The 17,443-nt window shown below is 40.0% G+C and overlaps 1 protein-coding gene and 1 pseudogene across 1 annotated transcript; one reads left to right on the top strand and one right to left on the bottom strand.

Annotated features, from left to right (window-relative positions):
• Window positions 1-17,443, top strand: part of LOC124901865 (translation initiation factor IF-2-like) — a 451,468-nt pseudogene that overhangs the window by 186,108 nt on the left and 247,917 nt on the right.
• On the bottom strand, window positions 11,889-15,885 carry DEFB107A (defensin beta 107A). The gene is made up of 2 exons (NM_001037668.1): window positions 15,728-15,885; window positions 11,889-12,119 (listed from the first exon to the last, which is right to left on the bottom strand). The coding sequence occupies exons 1-2, from the start codon at window positions 15,795-15,797 to the stop codon at window positions 11,977-11,979; spliced, it is 213 nt and encodes a 70-aa protein (NP_001032757.2). The 5' UTR covers window positions 15,798-15,885; the 3' UTR covers window positions 11,889-11,976.

Raw genomic sequence — 17,443 nt, forward strand, 5'->3', positions numbered from 1 at the left:
TTGGGGGAAAATTACTATTTAATTAAATAGGTTAAACTGTGAACAATAATGTGAGCCCTGCCTGGACCAGATGGCTTGCCAAGCAGATGGCCATCCTCATCCTCACACAGTACTTGACAAAAACCCTGGCTTCAGTGTAGAATCACTTGTGGAGAATTTTTAGGATGTACCACTTCCACCCATGAATTAGCCCATTTAATTGGCCTCAGTAAGTCCATGGTTTCAGGATTTTGCAGTTTGCTAAAAGTTCAATGTCATCCCAATTTATTTCCTGGAACCATTTCTCCTTGAAGTTTACATTCAGTACTGAGATTTGCTAAAAGCCAATGCATTTCCAAGTTCTAGAGTCAAATCAGACGACGCCTCCTTGGTCAGAACTTTTATTTTGCTTGCGGAAAAGTATATTGAATCAAATATAAGAAGGGTTTGCATGGTGGCTGAGTGGTTAAGGTGCTTTATCTGCTAGTCCATAGTAAGGGGAGCACAACTGTGTCCTCTGTGTCATAACTCAGGACTCATGAATAAAACGTGGAGTGTCAGGAGATGAACTTCTACTCCCACCTAGGGGAGCTTCAAGGAGAACGTCTCAAGGGCTTTCTGAGGGAAAGAAGAGCAGGGATGCCTAATTCTCTGGCCCCAGGCAGTTGTTCATGGGCAGAGACAAGGGCTGGGGTAATTCAATGGTTTATACTGGGTGTTTTTGATACTGCCCCCATTTCCCTGTTAAATCTGTGTAATGGATCACTGAGAAACCTGGCACCTGGGGCTGAAGATCCCTGTTGTGTCAACTCCAGGGATGGATCCAGAGAAGTGGTTTTGGTGGAAGTTGGAATGAAGGGAGTTTGGCTGTGGGAAGAAAAAAAAGCTGTTGATGATGGGGAAACGGGAAGAGAAGGATGAAATCTCTACTCACATGCTAAGGATAGCTTATGCAAATCTATGTGTCAGACCTGCATAAATAAAACTAGAACTTTAACAACATATTAGATTTTTCAGCAACAGGTTTTATTGTTTCAATATTTGCAAGTATTTTTCTATTAAAAAATAATAAAGTTGCTTACATAATTTTGTATTCAAAATTCCCAGGTCACATAACTGTTATACATTTACACTTCACATTTTTAATGAGTAGATACATTCTCTAAATTATGAATTATTTGCTCAATTGTGTGTTAGTTTTTTCTTTTTATTCTCCATGACTCCGTTTTCTGACCTGAAATCTGCAGTATTTGGTAATCCACAAGATGATCAGTTGCCCTTGTAAAGACTTTCCTTTCCTATTTCCTTCTTAAGAAAGCATTTTTTACTGAGTTTTTTTGGTAACATACCAACGGTGGTACCTGGCTGAATGTTGGTTCACAGTGAGTAGAGACCAAGGCTTCTCTCAAATGGAGTCCCAAATTCTTTACAGAGCTAGGAATTCTCTACTCTGAAAGTCCTGTGTGTTTTAAGTTAGAGCTTTTGCAAACTATTTATTATATTGACAGTTTTCATTCTCATGTCATTCTCATGTCATTTATATTCATTTATAGCACCAAGTGTCCCCTCCTACTTGGAGAGATAATTTTGTTCTGTAGTTAGTTTAAAAAGTCTTGACTCTCCCCTCATCAAGCTGCCTTGTCATTCTGTACTTGGCTCTTGGGGCAGGCAAGGTCAGTAGGAGATGCCAGTAGAGAGTAACCACCACTAGCTTCACAAGAATGATGTGCTGTGACGAATTGTGATAGGGTTTTTCCTTCTCTTTGCCCTAAAGATTCTATACCATATTTCATGCTCTGGAGCAAGAGCAACTTCTTTCTCATGGTTTTAATCACAATAATCTGATTTCAAGCATTTAATTCCTTTTTTTCCAGAACAACTCATTGAATTATCAAAAATATGAAATTAAGGATACCTACTTATTGGCTTGAACTAGCTCTGAGCAATTTAGTAATCATGAACAGAATGGCTCTGCTAGAACAAAATTCCTGATCACTTCAGTCCATCCTTGAAAATTTGCAGAGAGAGGTCAAGGGAACATACACTTCCCTGAAAATTGTATTTTACAGACCCAGTTAAAAGGCCATGTAAGGAAATAATGGAGACAGTAGAAGAATAGACTTACTGATTAAACTAGGTTTTGACTGTTAATATAAAAAAACCAATACCCTTTCCAAGAGCACATTGAAATAGCGTAAAATCCTTTACTAAGTACTAAAAGATATTTCCAAAATATAATAAAGACTAAAAATCTAAAGAGGCCTCATCATCTGAATCTGAAACAAAAGAGAATATAATTAAGACTTTTTAAAAAAACCCTAATGAATTGGGGATCTCTTTCCTTTACTCCTCTGCTGTGGTTGGTCAGAATCCCCTTTCTATTCTGTCCTCCACCTCTCTCCTGATTCTCTTTGTCTGTGTCATCTATCCCACTATTTCTTGCCCACGTAACTTTCACTATTTTTTTCAACACCTTCTACAAAGCTTCTAGAACTCTTTCACTATCACTGCTTTTCAAAATCCATCAGAGACAGCTTCCCAATACTCAACGTTACCTTCTTTTTCAACCTCACTCTCCCTAGCTCCCTGGCTCTCTGGTTCTCTTTTGGCCTCTCTTTTTCTCCTTATGCCCTGGCTTCACATCTACATTCACAAGAAGAGAATGAAGAAGCCCCCTTCCCAATAAGAGCACGCCTTACACTGGGACTCCAAAATCTAAGCACACCCTGACAGGCACAGCCAGTGGAATGAGATCTGGGACAGAAGATCACAGGGCGTCACAGGACTGTGGCCGGTGATGTCCAAGCCGAGGGGGTTCAGGGGCCTCCCCGAGTCTGTGACTAAGGAAAGGCCTGAGGGCAGCAGGGCAGTGTCCCAAGAGACGCGAGGATGAAGGAGGGGTGCGGGCAGGGTGGAGGGCCTTAGAAGACTACTGATGTCTAAGAAATCCCAAAGCCAGCGGGAGGTTGTGGCCTTCCTCCTCCTGGCTTTGCCCACAAAGGGCCGCGAGGGGTGAGAATCCACTTCCGAGTGGGGACTTAGACGGGGCACTGGGTGGGGAGGGGAGAGGGTGAAAAGACAAAAGACACAAAAGCATGGCGGGGCACCAACCTCCCAGTGTCTGACAGCGACGTAGGGCTACTGCGGCTGAGACACGTAGGTGCGGGGATTGTGACGTCGGCAGTGACACCAGACGCCAGATCCTAGGTGTGGAGGATGGTGACACGGAGTTGTGAACAGAAAATATCAAAGTCCACTCCAGGAAAGGGGCCTTTCATCCGGAAAACCTGCATCCGGGTCCGCCGGAACCTGCGGTCTCAGGATGGGGTAGTGGGCCAGAAAGAGGGCAGAGCCAGTGTGGACCAGGCCTCAGCATCCCTGCTCTGTCCCCAGGGCGTATCGGGATCTGTCCCCACTTCCGGCCAGTGCAGCCTTGGTCTCCGCGTTTGCCACAACGCGAGTGTTTTACGTGCAGTGGGGCTAGGCTGCTTCCACCAGTTGCAAGTTGAGTGTTTCCGACACTTTATGGTCAGGGTAGTCAGACCACTTACAGTGGTTGATGACCCGGTTCATTCTGCACAAATTAAAAACAGTTTAGGAGGCTGGGTGCGGTGGCTCGCACCTGGAATCCCAGCACTTTGGGAGGCTGAGGTGGGCGGAGTTTGAGACGAGCCTGGGCAACAGAGCGAGACCTTGTTTCTACAAAAATACAAAAACTTAGCCAGGTGTGGTGGTGGGTGCCTGTGGCCCCAGCTCCTCCAGAGGCTGAAGCATGAGAATCACTCGAGCCCAGGAGGTCGAGGCTGCAGTGAGCCGTGATGGGGCCACTGCACTCCAGGCGGAGCAACAGAACGAGACCCCGTCTCAAACCAAACCAAACAAAACAATAACAACAAAAGTTTATGGCAGAAGTTCTTCTTCCTCTCTAGCGTGAGTGGGTGGAGCTGCACATCTTGAGTGGAGCAGGTCGTGGCGCCTTCACGACCCAGGGACCCCTGGCTGGAGGTGGCTGGACCAGGACCCCCACCAGCCCAGTCAGAACGGGCCATTTATTGTCAGAACTACAATGTGAATTGCCACAGTTGGCCGGTGGGGAGCGTGGAAATTCACACCAAGGATGAGGAATGTAGGTTCCTTTTCTACTCCTCAATCACCCGGGAGGCAGGGACAAAAGCAAGGGCTCTGTTCCAGGGACTTTTTGAGCCAGGACCTGAGCTGGGCCCAGGAGGCCCGAATCTTTGCTTTAAAAGAACAAAAGTTACTGTGTATATTAATAAATTCCTTTATCCATCTTTATATTTAATGTGTTCTTTTCACATTTCTTAAGATGAATCATAAATCTGAATTCCTTTGAGACAAACGTGGATGACATCCCCTAATTTTCTTAGGTAATCGTTTTAGAATATATTGTAATTTCACATATTTCAGTGTTCTCAGCACTGTTTGAAAAAATATTTTTAATTTAAAATATGGGATAGTTTAATGTTTTGTTTTCTGTTTCAGAGTATTTTGTGTCAACTATGGGTATTGAGGCATGTAAAATGCGTACCTTTTAGGAAATACATGATTTTGTTTAGAACTAATGAAAAATTAAATGTTCAATATTTCCATGGACATTTACCAAGGGATGTCTACTCTCACACAAGAACATTTTTTAAAATAGCAAAACTGCATTTTCAATTTTCAATAGGCCCATTAATATCCTTAATAAATGTTAAAGTGAAATATGTAAGTTAGCATTTCATTTTCTACATTTCCTGATTTTCCTTTTTCTTAAGTGCATGCTAGCTGGATTTTGGAAAGACCAAATCCCAACTGTTCACACTGCAAAGATTTCTCAAAGATTATTTCCAAATGAGGGTACCCTTCTGGTTTTCCCATAACTAATACCAGTTTCTTTAAATTTTAAGTTTTTTTTTTTAAAAAAATCAATATTTTGATTCAAAACGGACTTAAAACTTGAATAGCTTCCCTTAGGTAATTGAACAGAAAGAACACTGGGATTCATCAGGGTACTTGGGGGATCAGCCCTGCTCACTGCTTCTCCAGATTTCCAGAGCTAAGTTTGTTAAGTTTGTTTCCCCTGAGCTGAGCTCATACCTCCCATAACTGCTGGGAAGTGGACACAGATTAAGGAGCCAGGATTGTATGCAATTTCAGTTGAAGAAATTCATACATCTGAGCCTTCCCATTTAGTTTTTCTGCAGCTCCCTCTCTCTTCACATAGGAGCCAAGTAATGTAGCTCTGCCTGTATGTACCGTTCAGACACTTCGACCTTCTCTACCAAATATTTTGTTTTTTGGTTTCTACAAAATATGAGTTTGGGGAGTCTTCAAATAGACTGAATTGATTCCTCTTGAGTCTGCACGGGACACACATTGTCTACATTTGGAAGCCCCTTACGAGAAACTAACCCACTAAATGAATGTCTGGGTAAATTAAGGTCTGCTCACTGTGTCTCTGAGTCTCTGATTCCATGCCTAGAAAATGGATCTGATAAAAGACGAGGAGTGGGCTGGGCGCGTTGGCTCAGTCCTGTAATCCCAGCACTTTGGGAGGCCGAGGCGGGTGGATCACGAGGTCAGGAGATCGAGATCATCCTGGCTAACGCGGTGAAACCCCGTCTGTACTAAAAGTACAAAAAAATTAGCCGGGCGTAGTGGCGGGTGCCTGTAGTCCCAGCTACTCAGGAGGCTGAGGCAGGAGAATGGCGTGAGCCAGAAGGCGGAGCTTGTATGAGCCAAGATTGTGCCACTGCACTCCAGCCTGGGTGACAGAGCAAGACTCCGTCTCAAGAAAAAAAAAAAAAAAAAAAAAAAAAAAAAAAAAAAGCTGAGAAGTGAAAAAAATGACAATACATTGAAGCATAATTTTTAAAATTATGATTTATGATTACTATCTAAAACAAGATTTTTCTGTCCTACCTTAGAAAATTTCCTTAGCTTTTCCAGAAGAAACTACAACTCTACCAAAGCACAATGGTTGTAGGAAGGCTGTTTGATTGGGTCACTAAGAAGTCCTGATGAGAAGATGGTCCATCTAAAATGCAATGCAGTGTATATAAGGCAACATGTGTCCACATCACTTCCTGGGCATAACCAGCCCTACCTCCTCAGAGGGGATCTGATCCTAATGCACATGCATTTCCTTGGACAAAGGTAGGGAGTCTGATTCAGAGCTGCTCCAAAGCCTGTCCATGCAGAAGACTTTATACCTGTAGTTCTTGTTCCTACCTTGAATGTGAAGGAGTACACTCAGTTTCAGAGTGAGAGTTTTGATCTCTGTAAGTTCTATTTGAAAAGACCAGCGGTTGACCAAAAAAAAAAAAAAAAAAAAAAAAAAGAGGTACAGCCAAGGATTGGAATAAAGTCATAGGAACAGAGTCAAGCCCAGAAGAGCAGCAGTATTGAAGGACAATGGATTAGGTTGCTAAGATTGATGGTGATCCTTATAAGTCAGCCTGTTACACTGTTTGCCTTGGGTCCACAGAGCTTTGTCATAGCTCTCTCTTGTAAGTTTCTTAAAATCACTAAAGAGGCTTGCTTGAACTCAGGTGTCTGAGATCAGCCTGAGCAGTATAGTAACACCTCATCTCTACTAAAATAAAAAAATTTAGCCAGACATGGTGGCATGTGCCTGTAATCCCAGCTATGATGGTGCCACTGCACTCCAGACTGGGAAACAGAATGAGACCCTGTCTCAAAAAAAAAAAAAAAAAAAAAAAAATCAGGAAAGTGCCCCATTTTCTACTACTCAGATCCTGTTGAGTTTCAGTGATGAAGGAGAGGTGGATCCAGACACCTGGAGCACCTCTTACTGCAGTTCATCTAAGTCAGCCTTTACCTGGCCCGCTCTGCTGTTCACACAGCCGGAAGGGCTTGTGCACGGGTTAGAAGACTACAGTTCTCTCTGTCATCAGTTTTCCTGGTTTCTCATACAGCCCCTTCTCCACATATAGATAGTGGAGATTTTGCCCAGGGGATTCCCTCAAGGTCTCAGTTTCGTTAAACTTGTCAAGGCTTCCACAGATTGTTTTGCCACCTAGTGAGACTTGTTTCGAAAAAAAAAAAAAAAAAGTGAAATGGGAAAAAAATTAAGTGGCAAATGAGAATGATAATAGTCCTCACAGGTGAAGGTGACCATAGAGACAGAAGATAGGTGGCTTCATTTTGGTCAGCAGCTCACCTGGGCCAGTGGAATGTCTTTGTTTGGATGAAAAGGACCTTTCTATACCTCGATATAGACAATCAGGGACAGAGGTGCACCATATGAGCAGAATGGCTTTCATAAGAGAACAGAGAGTCCTTAACATTTTCGGTTCAGTTCCCCAGAAGAATGAAAGTGAGCAGTTTTGAATGGAAATAATTGTCAAATGGGAACATAAACTACAAATATATTGGCAACAAAGGAAGTTTAGCAGCAATACTCCTTCAGTTTCAGTTAAAGTGATTTACGCTAAGTTGATAAACCAGTTGGTTTAAATGGTCACAGGACATTTTGTCTGTGAAACCTCTCTGGACCCCAATGACTCCAGTCGTAATTAGTCTAAATGCACATGTTCTAAACTCCCACAGGTCTCGGATCAGGATGTAGAACTTAACACATGGAATGTTCATTTGCTGTACATGTGTCTGTCTACCCAATAAAGTTTGAGCTTCTGTTCCTGGGGTTGAGCAAGGTGAACCACTTGGTCATGCCCTCTCCATACCTCCTTTACAAATGGAAAAGTGCAACACAGTGATATGCCACTGGACATGAAGGCAGCAATCCTGGATTTGAGCCTGAATCTATTTCTGCAACTAACTGGAGGTGTGTGACAGAGATCAATGGATCTCAGATGCTTCTGTGTTCAGTGATCAACAGGTCTCAAATGTCACTGTGCAGGAGACTTAATTGGAAAAGTCATTTTACAAATTTAGATTCTGAAGAGATCCCCATTTGAAAGTGTTAGAGTGGGGCATAGAGCTCTAATTATAAGTATTCTAGGCTAGTTACACTGACTATAATTAACCAATATAGTTCTGGAAGCAGGGACTTAAGTGATCTCTAAGGCTACTTCTAGTTCTAATATTTGAGTGTTCTAAGGATTCGTAGACATCTGAATATAAATCTTAGACTAATTTTTATGGTTTTTCAATTCACATGGGTGTGTGTATGCTCGTGTGTGTGCTCATACATCATGAAAAAGTAGAACTATTCCTTTACTTCATGCAAAGTTCAATCCACAAATTATAAGTAAATTTTAGATAATTGGCAGTGAGGGTGAATTTGTTAACACCAAGTTTGACAGAGTAAGAGCAGAGGCTGAAGATAATAAGACACTGATCTAGAACAACATCAGTGAGGAGAAAGAGGGAAGGAGATAATTGCATTAAGATTTACAGGGATTAATAAGCAATTTATGCAGATTAATGTCATGAGTAAATTGTGTGACTTATTCAGAAAAGTAAGCATTCCTGAGTAAACCTCTACTTTTACCCTGAATGTCAAGTAAACGATAGTAATATTTTCTAAGATTTAGAATATTAAACGAAGGCCAGATTTGGAAGCAAACCAATAAATTGCAATAAAGACATTACCTTTGAAGTGCCTATCAGAAATCCACTTAGAGTAGCTCAGTAAACTTAAATTGGATACATAAGTAGTGGAAGGTTGAAAAGGCACAGAGATAACCATACAAAAGGGATATCGCCTTTTAACATATAGGAACAAAGGAGTAAAGTTACTCTCAGGGGCTAGCGCCCAAAATTATCTTACTTGTACGCAGCTAGAGCTTGAACCTATGAGGAGGAGACACAGTACCAGGTGCCCATGTCTCCTAGTGGGTTACACCACATCAGTCACGCTTAAAATTTGAAGGGAGCAATGCTCAATGACTGATGTGCAGGCAAATGAGGCAGAGGCACTTGATAGCCAGTGTTCAGACTTCTGAGGAGGAGACATGGTCCAACAGGTGCTTGGATAGACAAGGTGCATAGAAAATCAGATTGTAGCTCAGCCGGTCCTCTTACAACCAAGGAGGTAGAGCTAGGAGGCTGCTGGTCCTTTTCTGGCGTATTTGTGGGGCTGCTGAGAAAGTGGAAAGAATATAAAGCCTGAAGCCTGGAGCCAACCATCTGCTGCTATTGGAATGGGGCTGACAAAAACGGCATAGAACAGATGCCTTCACTCTTGGTCTTGTTTTCCACTCTCCTGCTAATACCTTTCATTAAAGGTGCTAACAAGAAGCTAACTGGCCAAGCAGTATAACAAATGCTGTTTTCAGAGTCCCAGCACAGCACCACAGAGCAGAGTAAAGAAATCATAAAAGTAAAGAAGTAACACCATGTCATTAGTCCATAAAGAGTGGGAACCATGAGAATGGAGGAGATTGTTTGGAGATAACACGTATAATAAGAAGAGAATGAAACATAGGTGAAAGCAATCCTAGCCAAGAGAATATGAGGAACAGTCAGCAAAGAAGACTGAGAATGTGTGGAGAAGACAAAGAGAAATGTCCAGCAGACAAACATTCTCACGGCCAGAAGAGAGAGAAATTAAGGTGCAGGAGATAGATCACCTTGTAAAATGTTTCAGAAAGGGCCTGAAGGATGAATACTGGCCATAGGTCACTGGAGTTGGCCCTGGTAATTTATTAAGAGAAAAACTACTATTAACTGACTAAGGAGGTACCTGGTACCTTTATAAAGAGAAATTCCAATAGTATGATGAGAGCTAAAATAATCTTCTTCTTCTTCTTCTTTTTTCTTCTTCTCCTTCTTCTTCTTTTGAAACAGGGTCTCTTTTTTTTTTTTTTTTTTTTTTTTTTTTTTTGAGACAGAGTCTCCCTCTGTCACTCAGGCTGGAGTGCAATGGCATGATCAGGCTCACTGCAGCCTCAACTTCCAGGGCTCAGCCCCCAAGCAATTGGGGCTATGGGTGTGAGCCACTATACCGGGCTTTTCTTTTCTTTTTTTTTTTTTTTGAGACGTAGACTTGCTCTTGTCACCCAGGCTGGAGTGCAATGGCATGATCTTGGCTCACTGCAACCTCTGCCTCCCGGGTTCAAGCGATTCCCCTGTCTCAGACTCCCAAGGAGCTGGGATTACAGATGCATGCCACCACGCCTGGCTGCTTTTTGTATTTTTAGTAGAGACGGGGTTTCACCAGGTTGGTCAAGCTGGTCTCAAACTCCCGACCTTGTGATTTGCCCACCTCGGCCCCCCAAAGTGCTGGGATTACAGGCGTGAGCCACTGTGCCCAGCCTAAATTTTTAAATTTTTGTAGAGATGGGGTCTCCCTATGTTGCCCAGGCTGGTCTCGAACTCCTGGGCTCAAAGGATCCTCCTGTCTTGGCCTCCCAAAGTGCTGAAATTGCAGGCATGAGCCTCCATGCCTGGCTTTAAGAGATTTCTATAGGTTGAGAAGGAAATAGGGTATAAAAACACTGGAGACAGGAAATGTATGCTATATTTCAAGTCATTTGACTGACAGAGAAAGAAGAGGAAAAATAAAAAATGAAGAAACGAGAAAGTCTAAACACACTTAGATTCTCAAAGGCAGTTAGTTTTATCTGAGACAATGTTTAAGGAATTTCTAGGGAAAATGCAGAACAGAAAAATCCTCTGATTGAAACAGATAACTTTACATATTTTCCTCCAGCATAGTTTTCAGAATAAGAAAATTAGCACCATGAAGACAAGTGGCAATACCAGAAGATCTTTCAAAACACATTTTATTTTTTATTTTAAAACATTTTACACGTTGTCTTGTTCCAGATTTTTTTTCCTCTTTTATTTACATCTCTACAGGAAGCCAGCTTAACTGAATAGAGAAGGACATTTTCTAGAGCAGCGCAGAGGGATTTTACTTCTTCTGTTCTGGGATGGTGTACTATAAATCTTCTACGATGAAATGGTCTGTGATATATGCTTTCTTCTGCTGGAAAGCTGGGACTCCAAATTTTGGCAAATTAGGGAAAAGGTAAGCCTCAGTTTGCCATTGTTATGCTCTGAAAGGGCAGGGTTTGCAGGATTACAAAAGAGATTCTTAGAAAGTGTCTTTTTTTCTTTCTATGGTTTTTTTTTTTTTCAGTTTGTTTCAATTTCTTCCTCCATTTAACTGTTCACCTGAACCCGCTGAGAAACGTTCCATCTTTAGGACTGCCTTTTGTTGTTCTATTATCTTCCAGCCTGCTATTTTGTGGACATGCTAAGCAGACAAGTCCAGAAAGCCCGAAGTTGGAATATAAATGTGACTAAGTCAGTAACTGTATAATCTTCTTCAGTCTCACTCTCCTCCTTTGTAATAAGGGCACTGAATTCGATGACCTTTGGGGAACTTACTGCTTCAGAAACCCATGATTTGATCAATTCTCACTGCAAATGGCCAGAATGAAGATGTTGCTCAAGCTACAGCCAACTTGAATTTTGATATGGGTGCATTTCATTCTAAAACTTGATGTTTTAGATCGAACAGGTAAATGAACAAGAATCTAAACAGTTCCTACCTATAAAAGAGAGAAAGGAGTACATGACAGTGATACTGCTGAAGCAGCCACAATGAGCATCTAGCAGGTATACCGTTTACTGAGAGGTTCAATCTGCTCACATTATAGATACCAGAATCCTGGCACAGAGGGCCCAATGTCCTACATCTGTTTAAAGCCAGAGCTATGACTTTAGAACTCAATTCACCTGAGTGCCAGTCCAACCATTCCATTCCATCTGTTTTATCTGTGTATTCAATGGCTCACTTTTATATAAAGTAAAAGAAATCATTAATAGGCCCTGTGTCAGGAACTGAGAGTGCAAAGGTCAACAAGATATAGTGTCTGCCTGGAAGAAGTTCACAGCCTAGGAAGGGTATCTCCTTGTAGCACTGGGAACTGGACAGACATGGCTTCAGATAATCCAACCTTTGCAGATCAAAGAGAGATGGTCCAGAGAGATTTATCCCACTGATATCGCAGCCAGAGAATCTTCACCTCTTTGTTTCTTGCAGCTGGTGCTTAGTTTTTAATGTTTCTTTCTGTTTTTGCAGCAAAATGGTGCTAATTCAGCTCTACAGCCCCCAATCTTTACTTCAAAGGTAAGACATTCGGCTTCACAGTGACCTTCCATTCTCTTACTAATTAGTGCTCTATGAATTGCTGTCCTGGCTAAGTAAAGAAAGCAATTTGTCTTCAGTTATCTAGTAATTAGTAACTGTAAGATAAAATTACATCGCCCAGGCCAAATTCAGACTTCCTCATTACCATAACTCCTAGAGACACAGACTATAAACCTAGAAATTAGAAAAATCAGATGTTATCTGAACAGTCATGTCTGAGCTCAGACCCCTGGTACAATATAATCAATGTCCTTATTAAATAGCCAATTGGAAAAAAACAGAAAAGATTTTCATATGTCAAAATCATATCTAGCTTGTACAGAAACAGAATGTTTCTTCCAAGGAAGATGACAAAATACTTTCTAATTCCAATGAACGATCCTTACCAACAGATTTTTTTTCCCCTGTATCCAAATAGTCTCTGATTTATAGCAAAAGTTAAAGATTGTTCTGTTACATTATAGGCAGGCCAATAGTAGATCATATGCCCTGGCATATGATTTCGGAGTCTCACAGTTTTAGGTAGAAAGATAAACAACATGATGCTAGTCCTTCTCAATTTACTGTGCAAAGAACACCAATGGAATCGTGTATTTAGCTCTGGCAAGCAAATTTAGAGAGACACAGGCAATGTGTGTTCATTCATAACAGAGATTAGGTTGAAGAGGAAAAAATATGTCAAAACAGGAATCTTTTTTAATTGGTAAGATACATTCTTAGGAAACAATAGTGGAAGAAGTAGCAGTTCTTCTCAAAAGGAGTAATGTTTATTCCTGGAAATAACAACTTTGGGGGAGAAACAGTACATATTAGCTGCCATATATCTGAAATATTATCATGTGGAATATATTTTGTTAGTGCCAAGTTAAGGCAAAGACTAATGGAAAGAAATTGCAGGGACTTAGATTTCTGCTCAAATTAAGGAGAAATTTTTGAATAGTCCAAAGTTGAACTTGGGATACTGTGAACTACAGATCACTTAAATTTATCAGGCAACTGGACAATCAGTTGAGACACACACACGCACACACATACACACACACACACACACATATATATATATATACATGTATAGGGTGTTCAATACTGAATCAGGGCAGAGAACAAAAAAATAAGTAGAAGAACAAATGACCAACAATGGTAAACTCTAACATAGCATAGAGTATGTGCCTGCCACTGCTCAAGCAGTTATACAGAGAGATTGTTAAACTGTCCCAAAGCAGTCATTTTTACCTTCAGACTTTTAGTCATAGAACCTCTGGGTTTAGCTGGACACATGAATACTTAGCTATTCACATCAGCTCCTAGCTTCCTATTTCTATATGTCCACATGAACAAATTTGGAAAAATGAAAAAGGAGTGGAATGATGTGAGCTGCTTCTATGTAATCTTAATCAGGTTCTATACTTTCTAACCCTGCCTGTTAGAATATCCTTGGAACCAAATAAAATGGTCAACTGTTTAGGATGGCAGGGTTGACCTTCAGCCCAAATCACAACATAACTTGGTGAAAAAGAACCCTCTACCCGCACCTAGTCAACTTAGCTATTTTTGGACTTTTACATGAAAGAGAAATAAGGTTTTGTCTTTCTTCAGTCATTCTATCATTAAGATTCTTTATTATAACAAGTTAGTTTCTAATTAATATAACAAGTTTATTCATCTTCAAAACAATGCTATTATTATTATCATTTATAGAATGGAAAGTAAAACACAGGGTGCATACAGCTTATAAAGATTAGCACTGAGATCCAAACTCATATAAGTTTGGCCTAATAACCTATGTTTATTACCTTTTATATTGATCATTAAATTCACTTCTAACTCTGAGATTCTATGTGATTATGGTGATGGTGGTGGTTCTAATTTGTGCCCAAACTATGCTTATTATTGTAATTCAAATACATCTGAGATGAGTTTTGTGGACAGGGAGCTATTAGGCATCCACATCTATAGACTGATCTGAATAAATTGGAGTACTGATTAAAGTGGATGGAGAAGACAATTTTAAATGAGTTTATCTATTCTGGAGCATTGTCTGACATCTGCAAAAAGATGCTGAGGGCAGAAAATCGGGAACTGATTTTACAACTGACACTTTCATGGAGTCACTGAAACTTTCATGGGGACATTGTTCCCTGGCTCTGTTCTTTAGTTCTAGTCTTGCCTATTTCCAAATGTGCAAAACAAATACTACTTCCCAGGAAGCCTTTCTGCATTTCCTAGTTAGAACCAAGTTTCCACATCTATGACTTCTCTTTATAATTTGCATCTTTTATGGCACTTGTGAAAACTGTTTCATATTAAAGTTATTTGTGAATTTTCCTGTCTCATTGATACTTACTTATACATGTTAAATGTATTGAAAGCTTATTTACCACTACAAGCAACCTATTTTCGAACAACACAGAAGGAATAGACTAATAACTTCAAGCAAATTAAGGTCAATGTCCATGCTTTATATTTTTACCTCTTCGTTTTACCTACCTTTATCATAGTGGACAGAACAATTTCTTACAAGTGGTTAGCACACATTCAATATCTATTGGTTTTCTAGGACTACTGAGGACAGAATGTGTAATAAAGGAATGTAGAAATTCAGGAGCCATGAAGGAACAGACAGGGGGCTTCATGATGCATGGAGAACCTCTAATAGGAAAAGCTTCACAACAGAAGGAACGAAGGATAGTTGAGGAGGTATGGACATAAACATTTCTTAGGAACAGAGTCGTGGTTGTATGAAGCAAAGAGAATCTCAAAGACGCAAAGACTTAAGAGAATAGTAAGCAAGATGTTAGTTTAGTGGTTTTAATGGCATAATTTCCAACCAGTGTGTGAAAGCCAAAAAGTCTAAAATAATGTATGGATAAGAGATTTGGACCGACGACTCAGACATGAAAAAAAATTAGCTGTCTAAGAATCTAGTAACATAACTTTAGTTTAATTTAGACTACAAAGGCTGTACTTCCCTAACTTAACAAATATGTTTGGCATTTCCTTGGATAATCTTTTCTTTCTTTTTTTTTTTTTTTTTCATTTTAAAGAAATCACTTTAGAATATGCTGGCCAGGCGCGGTGGCTCATGCCTGTAATCCCAGGGCTCTGGGAGGCCGAGGAGGGCGGATCACGAAGTCAGGACATCAAGACCATCCTGGCTAACACAGTGAAACCCCGTCTCTACTAAAAATACAAAAAAATTACCCAGGCGTGGTGGCGGGTGCGTGTAGTCCCAGCTACTCGGGAGGCTGAGGCAGGAGAATGGCATGAACCTGGGAGGCAGAGCTTGCAGTGAGCCGAGATCGCACCACTGCACTCCAGCCTGGGCGACAGCGCGAGACTCCGTCTCAAAAAAAAAAAAAAAAAAAAAAAAGAATATGCTGAACCTGCGTTGCAGATTACAAAGGAGGAAAGAGATCTAAAAGTACAAAGATGTCTGAATTCCTTGGCAGAGCTGTTAGGGAAGTTGACTAGAAACTATTATGGATGGAGATGGTCCCGGTCAATGTGGTCCCATTGTTTTGTGTCGGAGCTCAGGAAAAGATTTTCAGTGACTGGTTTGCCTTGGAACCTTCAACTTTGTAAAAGTTGAGCTTTCATCTCAAAAGACAGATCCTGAGCAGACTGTCATCTCTACTTCTAGAAGAATTTCCCTCTTACCTTGGAAAATTTGAGCAAGAAGAATGAGAGCAGCCAAAATAAAGACAAATATTTTCATGGCTCCAGGCATCAGTGGAGAGCTGATGAAGGAAGTGCAGTAGCTGGAATCAAGCTCTTTTATCAAGGGGCATTGATTAAAATATGTTCTACTGCCCTGAAGGGACTGGAAGTCATCCTCGGTTTGTAATGTTCATTGGGAACATACTATTTTCCATGCTCCACTGATTAATGTGTGGGCTGATGGATCAGATTTTAACTAAACCACATTTGTGGGAGACAAACGCAGAGAACCCTGCCTTTCTGCCTGGAATATTCTATTCTGTGTCTCTGCTTAGACTTCTCTCATTTTTCCTTCAAGTCTTATCTCAAGTATTACCATGTCTATAAGATATATAGCCACCACGCTTTTCCTAGTACATGATTTTACATAAAACCTATTCTTAAAATAATAATTAAAACAAACACACAAAAACCTTTAATTTTAAATTCAGGAGTACGTGTGCAGGTTTTTTTTTTTTTTTTTTTTGACAGGGTCTCGCTGTATTGCATGGAGTGCTGTTGCTTAAGGAGAAAAGGGTTAATCCATTGAAAATACATAAAAACCATTAACATGTTTTTATATTATTTGATTTAATTAAAGGGAGAAATAGACACTTCTATATTCATAGTAGAAAATTTTTACACCACTCTCTCAGCAACTGATAGAACACAGGGAAAAATTAGCAAAGTCATGCATGATCTGAACAATACCACCATTCCACTGACTGCATTGATATTTATAGAACACATCATAAGACAACTGCAAAATACACATTTTTTTCAAGTACATATGATACATTCATAAAAATGAACCATATGCTAGGCCATAAAACAAATATTGATGTGTTTAAGCACATTTAAATACTTCAGAGTGTATTTCTCACCACAAGGGGATTAAATTGGCAATCTATAAAATAAGCTATTTAGGATATTTTCAAATATGTGGAGATAAAGCAACATCATTCTAGATTGTGTTTGTATCAAAGAATAAATAATGAGAATAATTGGAAAGCATTTCTGTATATCGAATTTTGTGGAGCACAACAAAACAATGACTTCGAAAGAAATTTGTATCCAAATACTTATTGTAGAAAAGAAGAAATGTTTAAATCTATGACTTAAAATTATGCTCTAAGAACCTTAGAAAAGGGAACAATGTAAGCCCAAGTATGCAGAATAAGTGAAAAAGAAGTTATCACTACAGATCCAAGAAACATTAAACTAATATAAAAATGTTGTCAACAGGTATATGCCAAAACATTTCACAACTTACATAAAATAAAAGAATTCTCTCAAAAATTTAACTTACCAAAATTGGCACAAGAATTAGCAGAAAATATAAGTATTTCTGTATGTCTTAAAGAAAGTAAGTGTGTTATTAAATGAAGAATGGCTTCTGCTTAAGATGTAGAAATACGTAAAGAAAATCATCCCACATGAAACAAGTACACAGCAAAACACACGGCAGACTGCAAATATTCAGTTTCTTTAACTCATTGGAAAGCTAAGGTCACAAATCAGCCACCTACCTAGAAATATAAGAAAAGACAGGAACCTCCAAAAAATAAAGACCATGAGTGCTTGCTTACCTGAAGCAGATTACCCCCAGAATATGATTTAAAAGATTTCAGGTAAAGTCTGTAGAGAATTGCTAAGAGCAAGCATAAACTAGAGAAA

This window comes from Homo sapiens, chromosome 8, assembly GCF_000001405.40.
Source record: "Homo sapiens chromosome 8, GRCh38.p14 Primary Assembly".
In the NCBI taxonomy this organism is placed as follows: Eukaryota; Metazoa; Chordata; class Mammalia; order Primates; family Hominidae; genus Homo; species Homo sapiens.